The sequence below is a fragment of the Homo sapiens genome, chromosome 5 (assembly GCF_000001405.40).
Source record: "Homo sapiens chromosome 5, GRCh38.p14 Primary Assembly".
NCBI classification, from domain to species: Eukaryota; Metazoa; Chordata; class Mammalia; order Primates; family Hominidae; genus Homo; species Homo sapiens.
Genome location: NC_000005.10, coordinates 170,308,389 through 170,323,033, shown reverse-complemented (window position 1 = coordinate 170,323,033; position 14,645 = coordinate 170,308,389). Strand labels below are relative to the sequence as shown.

The window sequence follows — 14,645 nt, the reverse complement described above, 5'->3', positions numbered from 1 at the left end:
GTATACTTAACTTATCACAACCTTTTTGTGAGAAATAATTTCACAGAACTCTTCTGTTGTGTTTTAACGAATACAGTAAGAAGGAATGATATTTGGGTTCCCCAATACTAAATCCACATTAGTAAGGGTTTTTTTGGAAAGATGGAACCAAAAGGACATGTATATAGGTATATAAGAGGAGATTTATTAGGGGAACTGGCTCACATGATTATGGTGGCTGAGAAGTCCCAATGCAGGCTGTCTGCAAGCTGAACTCTGGGATACCTGTAGCATGGCTCACTCCAAGTCTGAAGGCCTCAACACCAGGGAGGCTGATGATGTAACTCATAGTCAGAAGCCCAAAGCTTCAGGACCCAGGTAGCTGCTGAGGTAAGTCCTGGAGTCCAAAGGCCAGTGATCCTGGAGTTCTGATGTCCAAGGCAGTAGAAGAAAAATCTGTCCCAGCTCTCAGGGAGAGACCAATTCGCCTTCTGTATGTGTTCTCTTCAGGTCCCTGGCCTATGGGATGGTGCCCACCAACACTGAGAGCAGATCCTTCCCACCTAGTTCACTGAAACTCACATACTATTGGTCTCCTCTGGAAACACCCTGACAGACACACTTAAAATAATGCTTTACCTGGTTTCCAGGTATTCCTTAATCCAGTCAAACTGACGCTTAAAATTAAGTCTGCAAGTCCATCCCTTATCAACTTGGCACCCATATGCATCTCCTTAAACCATACTTAATTTCCAAATAAAGATAATAATAAGGTAATAGTTCTGCCTAACATGACACAACTAACATTAGGTGGCATACAACTGAAAATGCACCAACTTCGTCCCCAGAATTTGGATTTCAGGCTTTCAACATTTGGAATTTTAATCCTTTGGGATTTTGATTATGGGGATTTTTTTAGACATTAAGGAGTTTTGAATTTAGGGATTTTGAACTTTTGGAATTTCAACATTTGTGATTATGGCATTCAGAATAGTATCTTTTAGGATCATAATCAGTATTGCCTGGGTATATTGTCAGATATGTGATTTGCAGATATTTTCTCTCAATTTGTAGCTTGTATCTTTGTTCTCTTACAAGTGTATTCATACAGCAGATTTTAAAAAAAAATGTTGGTGAAGTCTAGTTTATCATTTTTTTCTTTTATGGATAGTGTGTTTAGTATCATGTCTAAGAACTTCTTGCCTAAAATAGTTTTCTTATGTTTTCTTCTAAAAGTTTTATAGTTCTACTTTTATACTTAGTTCAATGAACCAAACATTTGAACCAATTGTTCGACCACATTTTTGACCAACTACCCTTCTTCAATGATTTGCCTTTACACATTCATTAAATATCAATGGACCATATTTATGTGGATCTATTTCTAGACTCTTTACTTTGTTAACCTAATCTATGTGTCTGATTTGTCACCAACATCACATTCTCTTGATTACTATAGCTTTGTAAAAAATATTAAAATCAGGCAGTATGATTTTTTTTTCAAGTTTACCCTTTGTTTCCCCCAAAATTGTTTTGGCTACTCTAAGTCCTTTGCAAAAGCAAACCTTTAGAATCAGCTTGTCTATACAGTATGTCTCTCAATTTACTTAGGTCTTCTGGGGGATCTTTCATCAATGTTTTGTAGTTTTCAGCATATAGATCCTACACGTTTTGTTAGATTTTTCCCTAAGCATTTCATTTCTTGGAAGCTTTTTGAAATGGTATTTTTATTTTTAATACCAGTTTACAACTGTTCATGCCTAAGTTGAAACACAATTTATTTTTGTATGTTGACCTTATATGCATTGATGTTGCTATATTCATTTATTATTTCTAGGACTTTCCAAAAAATGAATTCCTTGGGATTCTCTATGTAGACCATTACATTGTCAATGAACAAGAACTCTTTTATTCTTCCTTTTAAATCTGGATGTCTCTTCTTTTTCTTACCTTATTGCACTGGTGAGGACTTCCCAGTATGATGCTGAATAGGAATGGTAAAACCAGGCATCTTTCCCTTAGTCCCAATCTCTGGTGGAAGGCATTTACTCTTTCACCATTAAGTGTGAAGGGTCAGGTATGCATTTTTTGTCTGGTTACTCTTAATCAGGGTAAGAAAGTTACCCTGTATTCCTAAGTTGGCTAAGTCTAAGGCAAGGAATTCCCTTTAACCAAGTGACATTGAAACTTCACATCCTGCTCAGATTCCACTGGTGAACACTTGGACTGACTACTTTCCTTCACTTCACTATACTTTAAATCCTTGAGGTCAGAAACTGCGTCCTGTTCAACTTTGGATCATCATCACAAAGCTCTTCCTACCCTCATATAAGACTGGACATGTCATCACTTGCTGTGTAGTCACATACTCAGGAAGAAGTGGAGGATGAATCAATTTTTATAATTAAAGCGAGTTCCGCTGCTCAGTTTTAGGTATAGTAATGTGCTCCAATCTGTCTCCAGGACACAAATGCACTAGTCATACCCTGCTCCTCAACATCTTCTAATCCCACAGGACAGAGTAGAGTTTAAGTCTGTTCTCTGCAACAGTTTTCAGAGTTCCCCTATCCATGATATGCTCAGGGGCCCCATAAAGTTTATAAGTGTCTTGAAGGGAAGACCAGTAGAGTTGGTCCTTTTTCAATAAAGCTAGGGGATGTGAGCAGCTGCATGAAAGCTGTCCTTGGCTTGCCGTGTCCAATAGCCAGAAGTCCCTATAGTGGGTTAAATGGTGTCCTCCAAAAATTCATGCCCCCGCCAGCACCTGTGAATGTATCCTTATTGGGAAATGGAGTCTTTGTAGATATAATCAAGTTAAGTTGAAGTTATATTGGATTAGGCTGGGCCCTTACTCCAATGGCTGGTGTGCCTATATGGAGAAGGTGATTTTAAGATACAGAGTCACAGAGACATGCAGGGAAGGAGGTCATTTGAAGACAGAGGAAGAGACTGGAGTCGTGCACCTGCCAGCCAAGGAATGCCTGAGATTGAAGGTAATCCCTAGAAGCTAGGAGCAGGCAAGGGAGGGTTCTTCCCTAGAGCCTGCAGAGAAAGTGTGATCCGCCATGATCAACACCTTGATTTCAGGCTTCTAGTCTCCAAAAATGTGAGAGTGGAGCAGTTGTTCTAAGCTACAACTTAAATTTGTGACAATTTATTATGGCAGCTTACAATGTGAATACAATCCCCAACATATGTAACAGTCACAGGTGTCAGGATCTGGAGTTATCTTCAGGAGAAGAGACACCCACTCCCTGTGTTATTCAGGGGGAAATTGTTAACAGATCTACTAACTCAGGCCTTTTCCCAAAAAGCTCTTTCAAAGTCTTCTCTCTTGGTGGAGGAAACTTCCAATCAAAATGACCACAGACCTTAGGGACAAGGCATTTTCCTGTCCCCTCTTGAGGGTAAGGCTGCAGAGAACTGGAAGTCTAGTGGACCACAGCCACAGGGCCCCAAGCCCCCATCTCAGTTGTGATTGTGGAGCACAGCAGGAGCAGGAAACAGAAGGTTGTGGCAGGAGCACGGAGGTTGCCACCTCTCAGAGAAGGGCAGGTTCAAGTGGGTGGAGTGCTGACAGTGCTTCAAAGCTGTCCCTGAGGCTCCAACCTGAGAGGCAGTGCTGGGCGCCAACCTCTGCTTCAACTGACAGGATTGTGACCCTTCTCGGTTGTGTTTTGGGAAACTGTTAGAGTCCTGAGTGACCGTTGTTTGAGTTCGCAGACCCAGCTGCTTCACAGCTGACCCAGAGGCTTTGGGATGGCACTGGTTCTGGAATCTACCACCTCACATGCAGAACCACAGACCTTCTTGCTTCCCCAGTAATCCCTATGCAAAGCAAGGCAGCTTTTTTCTTCAAGCCTTCAAATTACACACGTAACAAAATCTTGTTATGTGTCCTCGCTCATTTAATCAAAGCAATTGCTTTCTACTTCCTTATCCAAGGAGGGCCAGTCTTGGCCATTCCTAGGTGATGTGCAGGAAGACAGAGAGAGAGAGGGAACACAGACTCACTGGCATCTGGCAGAGCCTTTCTTGTAGGGAGCCTCCCAGGTGATAGGGCTGTGTGGACTTGGAGCCACGTTTGACTCCCCTGATGGTAACATGGGCTTTGGAGCTGAGACTTCATTTTATTCCATGCTAGACCAACGGTGTGAGGCTTCAGGCTTAAAGCTAGCCTTAGCAGGGTGCGCCTCAGCTTATGGGAGCTATTTGTGATCTGGCCCTGGCTTTCTTCCGCAACCTCAGTTTGTGATCCCACATACCCACTCCAGCCTCACGGATGCCTGAGCTTTCCTAGAAGCCTGCACTTTCTCTCTAGCTCTGGACTTCTTCACAGGCTCTGTGTTTTAGTTTGCATTATTCAGTCGCCACATTTTGAACCCTTCTCTATGCCAAGCTGCTTTGCTGAGCACTGTCTTATTCTTGATTGTTATTATTAAATATTTCAAACATAATAAAGGTGGTAAATCCCAATGTATACCTTATTCTGATTCAACAAAGGCAACATTTTGCCATTTGCTTCAGATCCCTTTTGTTTTAAGAAATAAAATTTATAGATGCATCAGAGTCTTTCCCTTCCCAATTCCATTACTCTCCTTCCCCTTCTGGAAGAAGAATGCTTGCCAAAAATTGGAAGGCAGCCCTCCTCCTATGTTTTTATACATTTACTACAAGTATACCTATTCATGCCTGCTCAAGCTCTTTCTCTTCTTTATTGTGAAAAGGTCATAGCATACGATCTACTTCTTAACAAATTTTTGACCGTACGGGACAGTGTTGTTGGCTGTAGGGACTTCGTTGTCTAGCAGATCTGTGGAACTTTTTCATCCTGTGTAACTGAAACTCTGAACCCATTGAACAGTAACTCCCCTTTCTCCCTCCCCAGCTCCTGGCAACCACCATTCTGCTTTCTGCTTGTATGAGCTTGACTACTGCAAGTACCTCCTATATATGGAATCATGCAGTATTTGTCCTGTGACTGGCTTATTTCCTTAGCATAATATCCTCAAGGTTCATCCATGTTGTCGCCCACGACTGGATTTCTTTCTTTTTTAAGGCTGAATAACCTGCACTCCCGTGTCATTATTCACAACAGCCAAGAGGTGGAAGCAACCTAAATGTCCACTGATGGATGAATAAAGAAAGCATGGTATATACATTCAATGGGATATTATTGAGCCCTTTCCTTTGTAATAGGTTATCTAATTTAGTCTATGAAGATCTTATTATTCCCATTTACAGATAAGGAGACAAAAGCATGGTTAAATTATGTAATTTCTCCAAAGAACAAATAGCTAGTAAATGGGGAAGGCTTGCAAATCCCTGCTTGGCTTAAGTAAGGCCTCCCTAACCCCCGCACGCCCCACCATTACTTCTGCAAACCCATTTACTCTGCACACACAGTAAGGTCAGGATCATCCCCTGCTCTTTTGGCTCATATGCTAACCAGTACCATTGCATCCACACCAGAGAACTAAATGGGACAGATTACCCATCTCTCTTGCTTTGGAGGACAGACACTAGGCACTTGTCCACCCTGCAGTGCCAGTTCGGAGCAGTGTCTGGCACCCGGTAGGTGGGCAATAAGGAGTTTTCCCACCTTATTGAACGCTGGAAGCAAACAGTGAACAGACAGAAAGGTGACTCTGATCTGAACCTCTCCAACTCCTGGAGGGAATGCTTCACCTGGAAACACACTCTTGCCTATGCCTTTGGGTTAACATTCACCATAACTCTTGATTTTATATATTGTGGGCTTCCCAGGACTTCCCTCTCAATAATCAGAAAAAACTCAGCTTGCCCCCATCACTTGCCCGTTAGACACTGGGCAAAGAGCCTATCTCCCTCGCCCAGGCTTGGTTTCACTCATATTTGCAGATAAAGGATGGACAACCAATAGCAAGTGAAAGCCTAAAGATGATTCATCTCAACCAAAGAGATGGTACCAAGAAGATGCGTCCTTTACATTGACACATCTGGAGCCATAATCTGCTGAGACTATCCTCAGGGTTCTTCCTACTCTGCGGGGACTCTCCCATTTCAGACCTCCATTCATCACCATCCTGGTTTTGGCCCAACTAAGATGAGCCACAGTTACTTTTGTTTATTTAGTATATTATTTTAATTCAATTTCTTTTCTCAACTTCAATAAAATCTTTTCCTCTTTCTGAGCAATAAGACACATGAAATAATAAATTAGATGAGCTTATTGTATTTTTCTAACACATAGCAATGTGTGTGTGTGTGTTATGCAAACTTACATTTGTAAAACATCTATATCCATCTGTGTTCTAACTCATATCACTTTGTGTGCCATACCTGGTGGAACTGTACTCAGGAATAAGCTGCCAGTCTTTGTTGACCTGGATTTGCCCATGTTGAATGCACAAGTCAGGAAATAAACTGGTGTGCAGGCCTCAGTGAGAAAACCAAACCAAAGAGGAGAAATCATCCCTTTTCTGAATATCAGGATTACAGACCTGGTCCAGCCCAGCCTTGACCGAGTATTCCTGGATACTTGAGTTCTCTAGGAGAGGAGTTTTTGCTCAAAAGCTCTAACCTCAAGCTTAACTTCTTTATCTGAAAACTGGGGTCAATAATTCCTAGAGATCAGACAGGTCCTTAGTTACAAACAGCAGAAACGGACTCTCCCTTAAATAACAAATGGGGCCCAGCACAGTGGCTCACGCCTGTAAACCCAGCACTTTGGGAGGCTGAGGTGGGTGAATCACTTGAGACCAGGAGTTCAAGGCCAGCCTGGCCAACATGGCAAAACTGCATCTCTACTAAAAATAAATAATAATAATAATGATAAAAAAGCCGTAAGTGGCAATGTGTGCCTGTAATCCCAACTACTTGCGAGACAGAGGCAGAAGAATTGCTTGAACCCGAGAGGTGGAGGTTGCGGTGAGCTGAAATGGCACCACTGCACTCCAGGCTGGGTGACAGAGTGAGACTCTGTCTCAAAAAAAAAAAAAAAAAAAAAAAAGGAATGTATTGAACACCTTTGAAGGCCAGGGCCTCACAGAATTGCTGGGAATGTGAACAGTCTTGGAAAGTGGAAAATGGTCAGCAGCCATGGAATCTCAGAGGGCCAGGCTGCAGAAATCACACCGCAGGTTCTCGCTGCAGGAGCCAGGTGATACACAGACAGGTGCTGGCTGCCAAGCCCCCAGCAGAGCCCACACCTTCACATGCTCAAGGCTCAGTGTCCTGGGACAGAGTGTCTGACAGACCAGATTAACTGAGGAATGGCTGGCTCTAAGGAAATGAACTCCTTTGGGGTCCACAGGTAATGCTCACTTGCCACTGTCATAACGTACTAAGAGGAAGGAGGGGGTGATGCCTGATCACCAAAAGTAGCAGCTGACCCCTAGACTGACCTTTCCAAGTTGCCTTGAGAATGAGAAATAATTTATACGAAGTGTCTGATAAAGTGCCTTTGTACAATTATTGTACCCAAATAATTAATTTCATGAACTGAGAAGATATACAGAAACCTTGAAGGAGAGGGAAAAATAGGTGCTCTAAATTAAGCATGCAATGCAATAGCAGTTATCTTCCTGGGAAGACTCCAAAGAGTCAGCATAGAACTGCATTTTAAAAGCTCCCTCTTCCAGACAAAGCTGCCAGTCATGAACACGTGGTGTCTGCCGACAAAGCCAGCCCCGTGGTCTGCTGTTGGAGCCAGCTCTTTTATTGCCAAAGGACATTTAAATGGAAAACAGCACATCTACCAGAATAAATGTGTCCTCAGGGAAGGAAGTGGAATTCTGGGCTATGCTGCCCCGACAACACCATGAACCAAAAATCTGACTTCATGGCCCCATTAGGGGCTGGTCTAGGGTGGAAAGAGAAATATAACGTCACAGCAGAAAGTTTGCAACTGAAGTTCATTTATTAAAAGACCTAAGACCATGTTCTCTTCTGGATATATAGTAGAAATGATGCTTTAGTTAATATTTTTAGTATTAATGGAATGAAATGAAATGGAATGGAATGAAACAAAATGTCATTCTTCTTCCTAGAAATCTCCAAATAGCCCATTTATGGTTACCTTCTGGCATGCCCAATACCAGTTTGCAGTTTTAGGCCCAGCCAGCTTAAGAATTACCTGAGGAGTCTGTTAATGGTGCGGACACCTGGGATCCCCAGGGTGGCCTGGAGATCTGAGCCAGGGGGACTCAGTGAAGCCCCAGGATTTGTGTTTTCCCTAAGCTCACCAGCCAGGGAACCTCTGCCCTGGTGGCTAAGCCTGGGTTTGCCTTTCCCTTGCCGTAGAGAAGGCTTGGTAGGACAAGCTCTGTGAAAATAAGCCCTGTTACACCAAATAAAATTTCACAGGGAATGTTAAGAAACACTGAATTATGAAACATAGAATATAGCAAACATTTAAGGAAATTAACTCATATGGGGATCTCTTCCCCTGGGCACAATTGTTACACTGGCTAGAAATCATTCTTAGCAGTTTAACAGGTCTCTTAAGGACCCCAACTAAACAAAAGGTTTGTTACATTGGCTCAAATTATTGTGCCTATTTAGTAACAATTCTGGCTAATGTGTCCCAAGGGCCCACTGGGTACCTGCTCTATGCTATAAGTTTTTGACACCCGATTCAATTTAAACCTCATCAGGATGGGACAGTATGATTCCATTTCACAGCTGAGAAAACTGAGGTTCAGCAAGATCTTGCCCAAGTCAAGGTCAGTATTCAAATCAAGGTCTGTGTGATCCCAGAGTCTATTAATCTCTGTGCTGTGTATAATAGGATCAGCATGGGATTTCTTCATTTATTGTTCTGTCCTACTGATATTCACACTGGCCACCCCTGGTATGAGCCAGATTTATTGAGGTTTCTCTGGGGCTTCTCTCAGGTGGGTAATGGAGCCAATTGCATGGCCTGCCATCCATCATTTCATGGAAAACAGGTTAAGAGGACACTAAGGCAGCTGTGACACGAGGAAATGTCACAAAATGACAACACATACCCTCATGGCCAACTGGCAGAAGCCAAAATGAAAACTGTGTGGAGAACAGTGGAGTGGGATGTAGCAAAATTACAGAAGTTCCTATCCTTGAGCTAGCAAACTGACATCTGGCAATTTATCCTAAAGAAGTAATCATGGCTGTGTGCAGTGGGTCAGCTAAAAGAATGCTCATTTCTGGGTTATAATAATGAAATTTCGAACCAATCTAAACCATAGGGAATTACTGAAATAAATTCTAGTACCTGCATACCATGGAGCACTCTGCAGCCGTTTCAAAGCTGCTTTGAGATGACATTCAGCCACATGGAAAGCTATTCATAATATGTTGCATATATGAAAACGGATTTAAAAAACCACAAAGAGGTATTAAATGAAACAAGCAGGAAGCCTCCGCACTTTGAATTCCTCCATAACAAATTACACCCTAACTTAGTATATAAACAAACTGAAACTTAGGAGAATACTTTTGGTAACAAATAGCTGGTTTCAGCCAATCACAAACAGCTGAGTTTCAGCCAATCACGGACAACCAATTCATCGCACCAGGCCCAAATAAGACAGATGTCTAGCTGTAGCCAATCAGGTGATTTATCTGCTTTGTTTCCATGTTCAGCCTATAAAAGCTCAGTGCTCATGCTCCTGGGCTCCCGGAACCTCTTCTGGTTCTGAGTGCTGTGGATTCGTGAATCATTCTTTGCTCAAATAAACTCTGTTAAATTTAATTTGGAAATTTAAAGTTTTCCTTTAACAGAGGTTATAAAGAATTCTATGAAGATGGTACTCTCATTTTGACAGTGAGAAAGATTTTTTTACTTGAAGAAAGGAAATACCAACATTTTAAGTGTCTAATGTTCATTATTCCTTTTCTTGCCTGTATTTTATTTATGTTTCCATGATGACTCTGTTTTACTTTTACAGGTAGAAAAAAATCCATAACTTTGTTCAAAGTAAGAAATGTTGGTCACAGACAACTTGAAGGGATTTGGATGGTGCATCTATATGAAACCATCTTCCCCCCACCCACTTCTTCTGGCTGTCTCACAGACCTCAGCCTTCTGCTGCAGTTCAGAGCTCCAGACAGTGCTAGTGATTCACTACATCCTAAACAGGGCTGTCTTAGAGTCTTCCTGGAAATGCAGAAATCCCCAGGCCATGCATGCCCCAAAGTGATGATGTCACAGGGAGTCTGGTTTCCCTGCTTGTCACTGAGCAATCCTAGGGTGCTCTCAACACATGCGCTTCTGATTCTCCAACCCTTGCTGCACCTACAGATCCCCAAGAGGAAGTTGAAGAGTCACCCAATCTGGAAGGATTCTCACGCCCTAGAGAGTCAGAAAAGGAAATGAACATGTGTTCTGCTTTCCCAGGGTCCATGGCAGGAGGGCTGCAGCGGCCTCATTTATTCATTTGTGCCAGGCACCCTGTTAATCATGGAGATACCACGCTGACCTGCCTTCAAGGAGACCATATTCTAGTAGGAGAGCTGAGCAGCGAGATGGCCATGTGTAGATGGTGCTATATGAAAGGTAAGCACAGCACACCCTGGAAGCACTTAGGAGGGACACTTCACCCATATTTGGAGGTTCTGAGAAGTTTTCCAAAGGACATAATGCTCAGCATTGATAGAAAAGAGAAGTAGGGAGTGGTCGTTGGCACAATCTCATAGAAGGAACAGGATAATGCTGGAAGATGCCTTTTCGCAATCTTCCATTCGTGGCTCACGAATAAGGGTGATTCTGCAGTCACTTACCAGATCAATAGGGTCTGAGGGCCCTGAGTCCTATTGTGGGGCCCCAGAACCCTGGTCAGTTGACCAGATAGAATCTGAGAAGAGCCAGATTCTATCTGGAATCCAGGAGCCCAGGGGAGGGAGGGTAAGCAAACTCAAAGCCAGGCGTCAGGTCTGACCAAGCCTCCAATCTGAAGGTGGCTGGGCAGAGAGGGAGAATCTGGGTGTGAGACTGTGGGTAGGGGTGGAGAGGGTGCAGCGGGAGGAAGAACCAGCTGCAGAGGGACAGCGGAGGGAGAGACAGAGGTGTGGCTTGGCAAAGTCCCCAGGAGAAGCCAGAGGTAGTTGCTGCTACTGCTGTCTGTCAGGGCTGGAATTGTTCTTTCATCCTCCTCAGCCTTTGGTGTCAGCAGGAGTAAACCACAAGCAGGCACAGAGGGAAAGAAGGGACAAGGATTGAAGAGTGGCATGACATTAAGCATAAGAGAGGAGATGGTATACATGACTTAATAAAGGAGGGCTGGAGATGAATGAAGATGCCCCTAAGTGGCATGGGGATTTCTGCATTTCCAGGAAGACTCTGAGCCACTCAGAGATTCAAGAGATCTGCACCACTCAGGGATTTTCTCCAAGGTCAGCTGCGTACCTCCCCACTTCCTGACACTCTGCCTCAATCCAAGGCTCTTTCCTAACCTGGATCCCGCCTCCCTCCCAGGGGAGTGTTTCCTTACGGTTGTATTTGGCACCCATCAGCATGCAGCAACCGATTGTCACTCAATTCCCAACCAGTCAATGAAGAAGTCCCTACACTGGGCTCACTCTGGGCTTGTTTCAATGGGACCACAGCAGTTGTCCCATCCAACATTACTTGATTTGTGCATTTATTTCCCATTCATTGCTTTTTCTCCCACTGCTTGAATAGAGTTAGTTATTTGTGGGAAGGACCCTGTCTGCCTCATTCATCACCATAATCCAATGCTTAGAACAGGTGCTGGTACATAGTATGTCTCAATTTAAAAATTACTGAATGAATGAATGAATGATTGTGTATAGGGGAAAAGAAAACAAGCTTCAGAATCAGATGCAGACAATCCTAGGATTGAGCCCAACTCCACCCCTGGGGTAACCTGTAAGCCCAGCATCCTGATATGTCAAATGGGATATGCAGGACTGTGGGTTTGCAAAGTGCCTCATATCAAATAAGTATTCTAAAAGGTAGTTATTTTATTTTATAATGATTATAAAGAATGAGGGGAATTGTGCTGTCATACCAGAGGCAGGATGGAGTGAGAGCCCACCCTGCTGACTGGGCAGAAGCACACAATCTTTATTGGTCAGGAAGGGGAGGAGAGAAGGAGCAGGACGAAATGGCTGGCTCTAAGGACCGCCAACCCATCACACAGAGGAAAGGGAAGCCTGAGCTCCCAGGTTGCTCTACTCTAGAGGGCAGATTTAGTGAGGTTTCTCAGAGCATTCCCTACGCAAGTACCAGAGCAGACAGCATGCCCCCTATCATTGCTCAGTAGCACCTATGTTTGGTGGGGAGGAGGCTTATCTTGGCTTAGCTCCCTCCCCCCACTGCCCTCGTTACCCCCAGGCATATGTCAGTGTCTTTGCATCTTACTATGCAGATCACCCTGATGTAGAAGCCAGGTGGGGCATCTTGGCTTCCTGCTCCTTTTCTTTCATATGACACCGAAAAGTCTCTGGATATTGCAGTTGGGCCAGACCTGCAGAAAAAGAGAACATTCAGTTAAACAGAAGAACATATTCTGGAGAAAATGGGGAAGAGAGTGAAGACACAGCTGGTTCAAGGGAAAAATGCCAACTGAGCACAGAGAGAAAAATGCCTGCTGAGAGCTCCACAAATAAAGAAAAAACTTACATAAAGTGGTGAGAAGCACAGGAGAGGACAGGGCCGGGGCTGAGAGGCTGAAGTTCCAGGACCGGTTCTGCATTTGCTGCTGTGTGACATGGGGCCAGTGACTTCCCATCTCTGGGCTTCAGTTTTCTCAATTATCATCTATTCTCCTGCTTTCTCTATAACATTCATTTATTGATTCCTTGATTCAAGAATATTTCTTAAGCACCCAGTTTGTGCCAGGTACAGCTGTCAGTGCTAGTGATTCAGCAATGAACAAAGTGGACAAAAAGCACATCCTTATGTGAGCCCTCATGCATGCAGCAAACACAATCAGTGAAATATGGTGCAGATTCATTTGTAATAAGGAGAAAACAGAAAGCACAGAAGGGGTCAGGCAGTCTAATCTGGAAGGGTGACCTCTGAGTCAAGACATAAGGAGGTGAGGGAGTGAGCCAGGAGGACATCTGGGCAAAGCCTGCTCCAGGCAGAGGGGACAGCCAGTGTGAGAGCTGCCCTGAATGCAAAGCCTACCCACTGCCCCTTCTTTTGGTGTCTCCACTGGCCTGCTGGCTGCAGCAGCCTTCTATCAGACCTCCCAGCCTCCATCTCCTCCCCTGGGGTCTTCTAGCCCCACATGGCCAGCCAGGGTGACTCTAAAATATAAGTCAGACCCCAACACGTCCCTGCTCAAAACCCACCAGGTGCTCCCACCACATTCAATGCAGTGCAAGTCCTCACCATGGTCCTCTAGCATCTCTCCAAGCCCATCTGCCTCCTCTCTCCCTCACTTGCTCCTTTCCAGCTACACTGGCCTCTGCTGTACCTGGGACATGCCAAGCAAGACCCAGCCTTGGGGTCTTTGCTCACGGCCTCTGCCTGGATGTTCTTCCCCCAGTTATCCACAGGTCTGGCTTCCTGACTTTATTCAGAGGCCACCCTCTCAAGAAGACACCCTTGACTGTTTCGTCTAAGCAAGACCCTGTCACATCCAACCACTCGCCTCGCTTTATTTTCCCTTACAGCATTTATCATGACCTCCCATCATTTTATATATTTATAATAGTAGATATGATCAATGGATCAGATGTTTATTATGTGATGGACACTGTTCTAAACATCCTAGAATTAATTCATCTTCTCCCAAACTCCTTGAGATTGGTATTGCCATTGACCACATTTTATATATCAATAACCCAAGATAGAGAGAGGTTAAGAAATTTGCTCAAGGTCTCCCATCTGGTGAGTGTCAGATCAGGATTCAAACCCTGGAGCTTCCATTATGAGCCACAACACTCTAGACCAGGGCTGCCCAGTAGAACTTTGCAATGATGAAAATGTTCTGTGTCTGCACTGCCCGAAGTGACTGCCACTGGATATGTGTAAGTGTTGAGCATTTGAAATATGTGTGACCAAGGAACTGAATTTTGAATTTTATTGCATTTCCATGACTTTAGATTTAAATAGCCAGGCTAGTGGCTACCAAATTGTACATAGAGCCCTCGCACCTCTTATTTGCTCCTTTGTTAATTTCTGTCTGCCACATAAGGATGAAACTTGCCTATGCATTAGTTTCCTCATTTTACAGTAAGGGAAACACCCCTGGTACAAAGTAAATACTCAATGCTCATTAATCACCATCATCATCACCATTATTATAACATTATCATTATTAGTCTCCATGAGATCGATGACTTTATGTTTGTTCACTCCTGAATCCCATTACATTCTTTAGCACATAGCAGGTGTTCAATAAATATATTATGAATGAATGAATAAGTAAATTGAGTTAAATGTGGCACTTGGATAAGGATAAACTCTCACAAACTCAAACTCTCTCTCAAGGGCTAGGCGGGAACTGTAGCTAAGTGAAGCGGGGTGATACAAGATCATGGGGAGGACTGAGGGTAAGCTGAACAGAAGAGAAGATGTCCCAGCTAAATGCTTTCAAAGTGATTTTGGGGGAGTGGGAACAGCGAGGAGCACTGCGGACCAAATGGAAAGCCCCTAGCTAGAAGACACCCAGGGGCTGCCACTTTGGAACTAAGTCCCTTTAAAGGCCTTTGTCCCTCCACAATGACAAGTA

The 14,645-nt window shown here is 43.8% G+C and overlaps 1 long non-coding RNA gene across 1 annotated transcript, besides 1 other annotated feature; it reads left to right on the top strand.

Annotated features, from left to right (window-relative positions):
* On the top strand, positions 10,318-14,333 carry LOC100128059 (uncharacterized). The gene is made up of 2 exons (NR_147701.1): positions 10,318-10,495; positions 12,330-14,333. It is a non-coding gene; the product is annotated as an uncharacterized LOC100128059 (long non-coding RNA).
* Positions 10,349-10,398: an enhancer, noted in NCBI's record as "active region_23606". NCBI's record gives its function as "activates an Ori minimal core promoter by ATAC-STARR-seq in GM12878 lymphoblastoid cells {active_cell/tissue: GM12878}" and the evidence as "EXISTENCE:reporter gene assay evidence [ECO:0000049][PMID:35858748]".
* Positions 14,334-14,645: the final 312 nt, after the last annotated feature.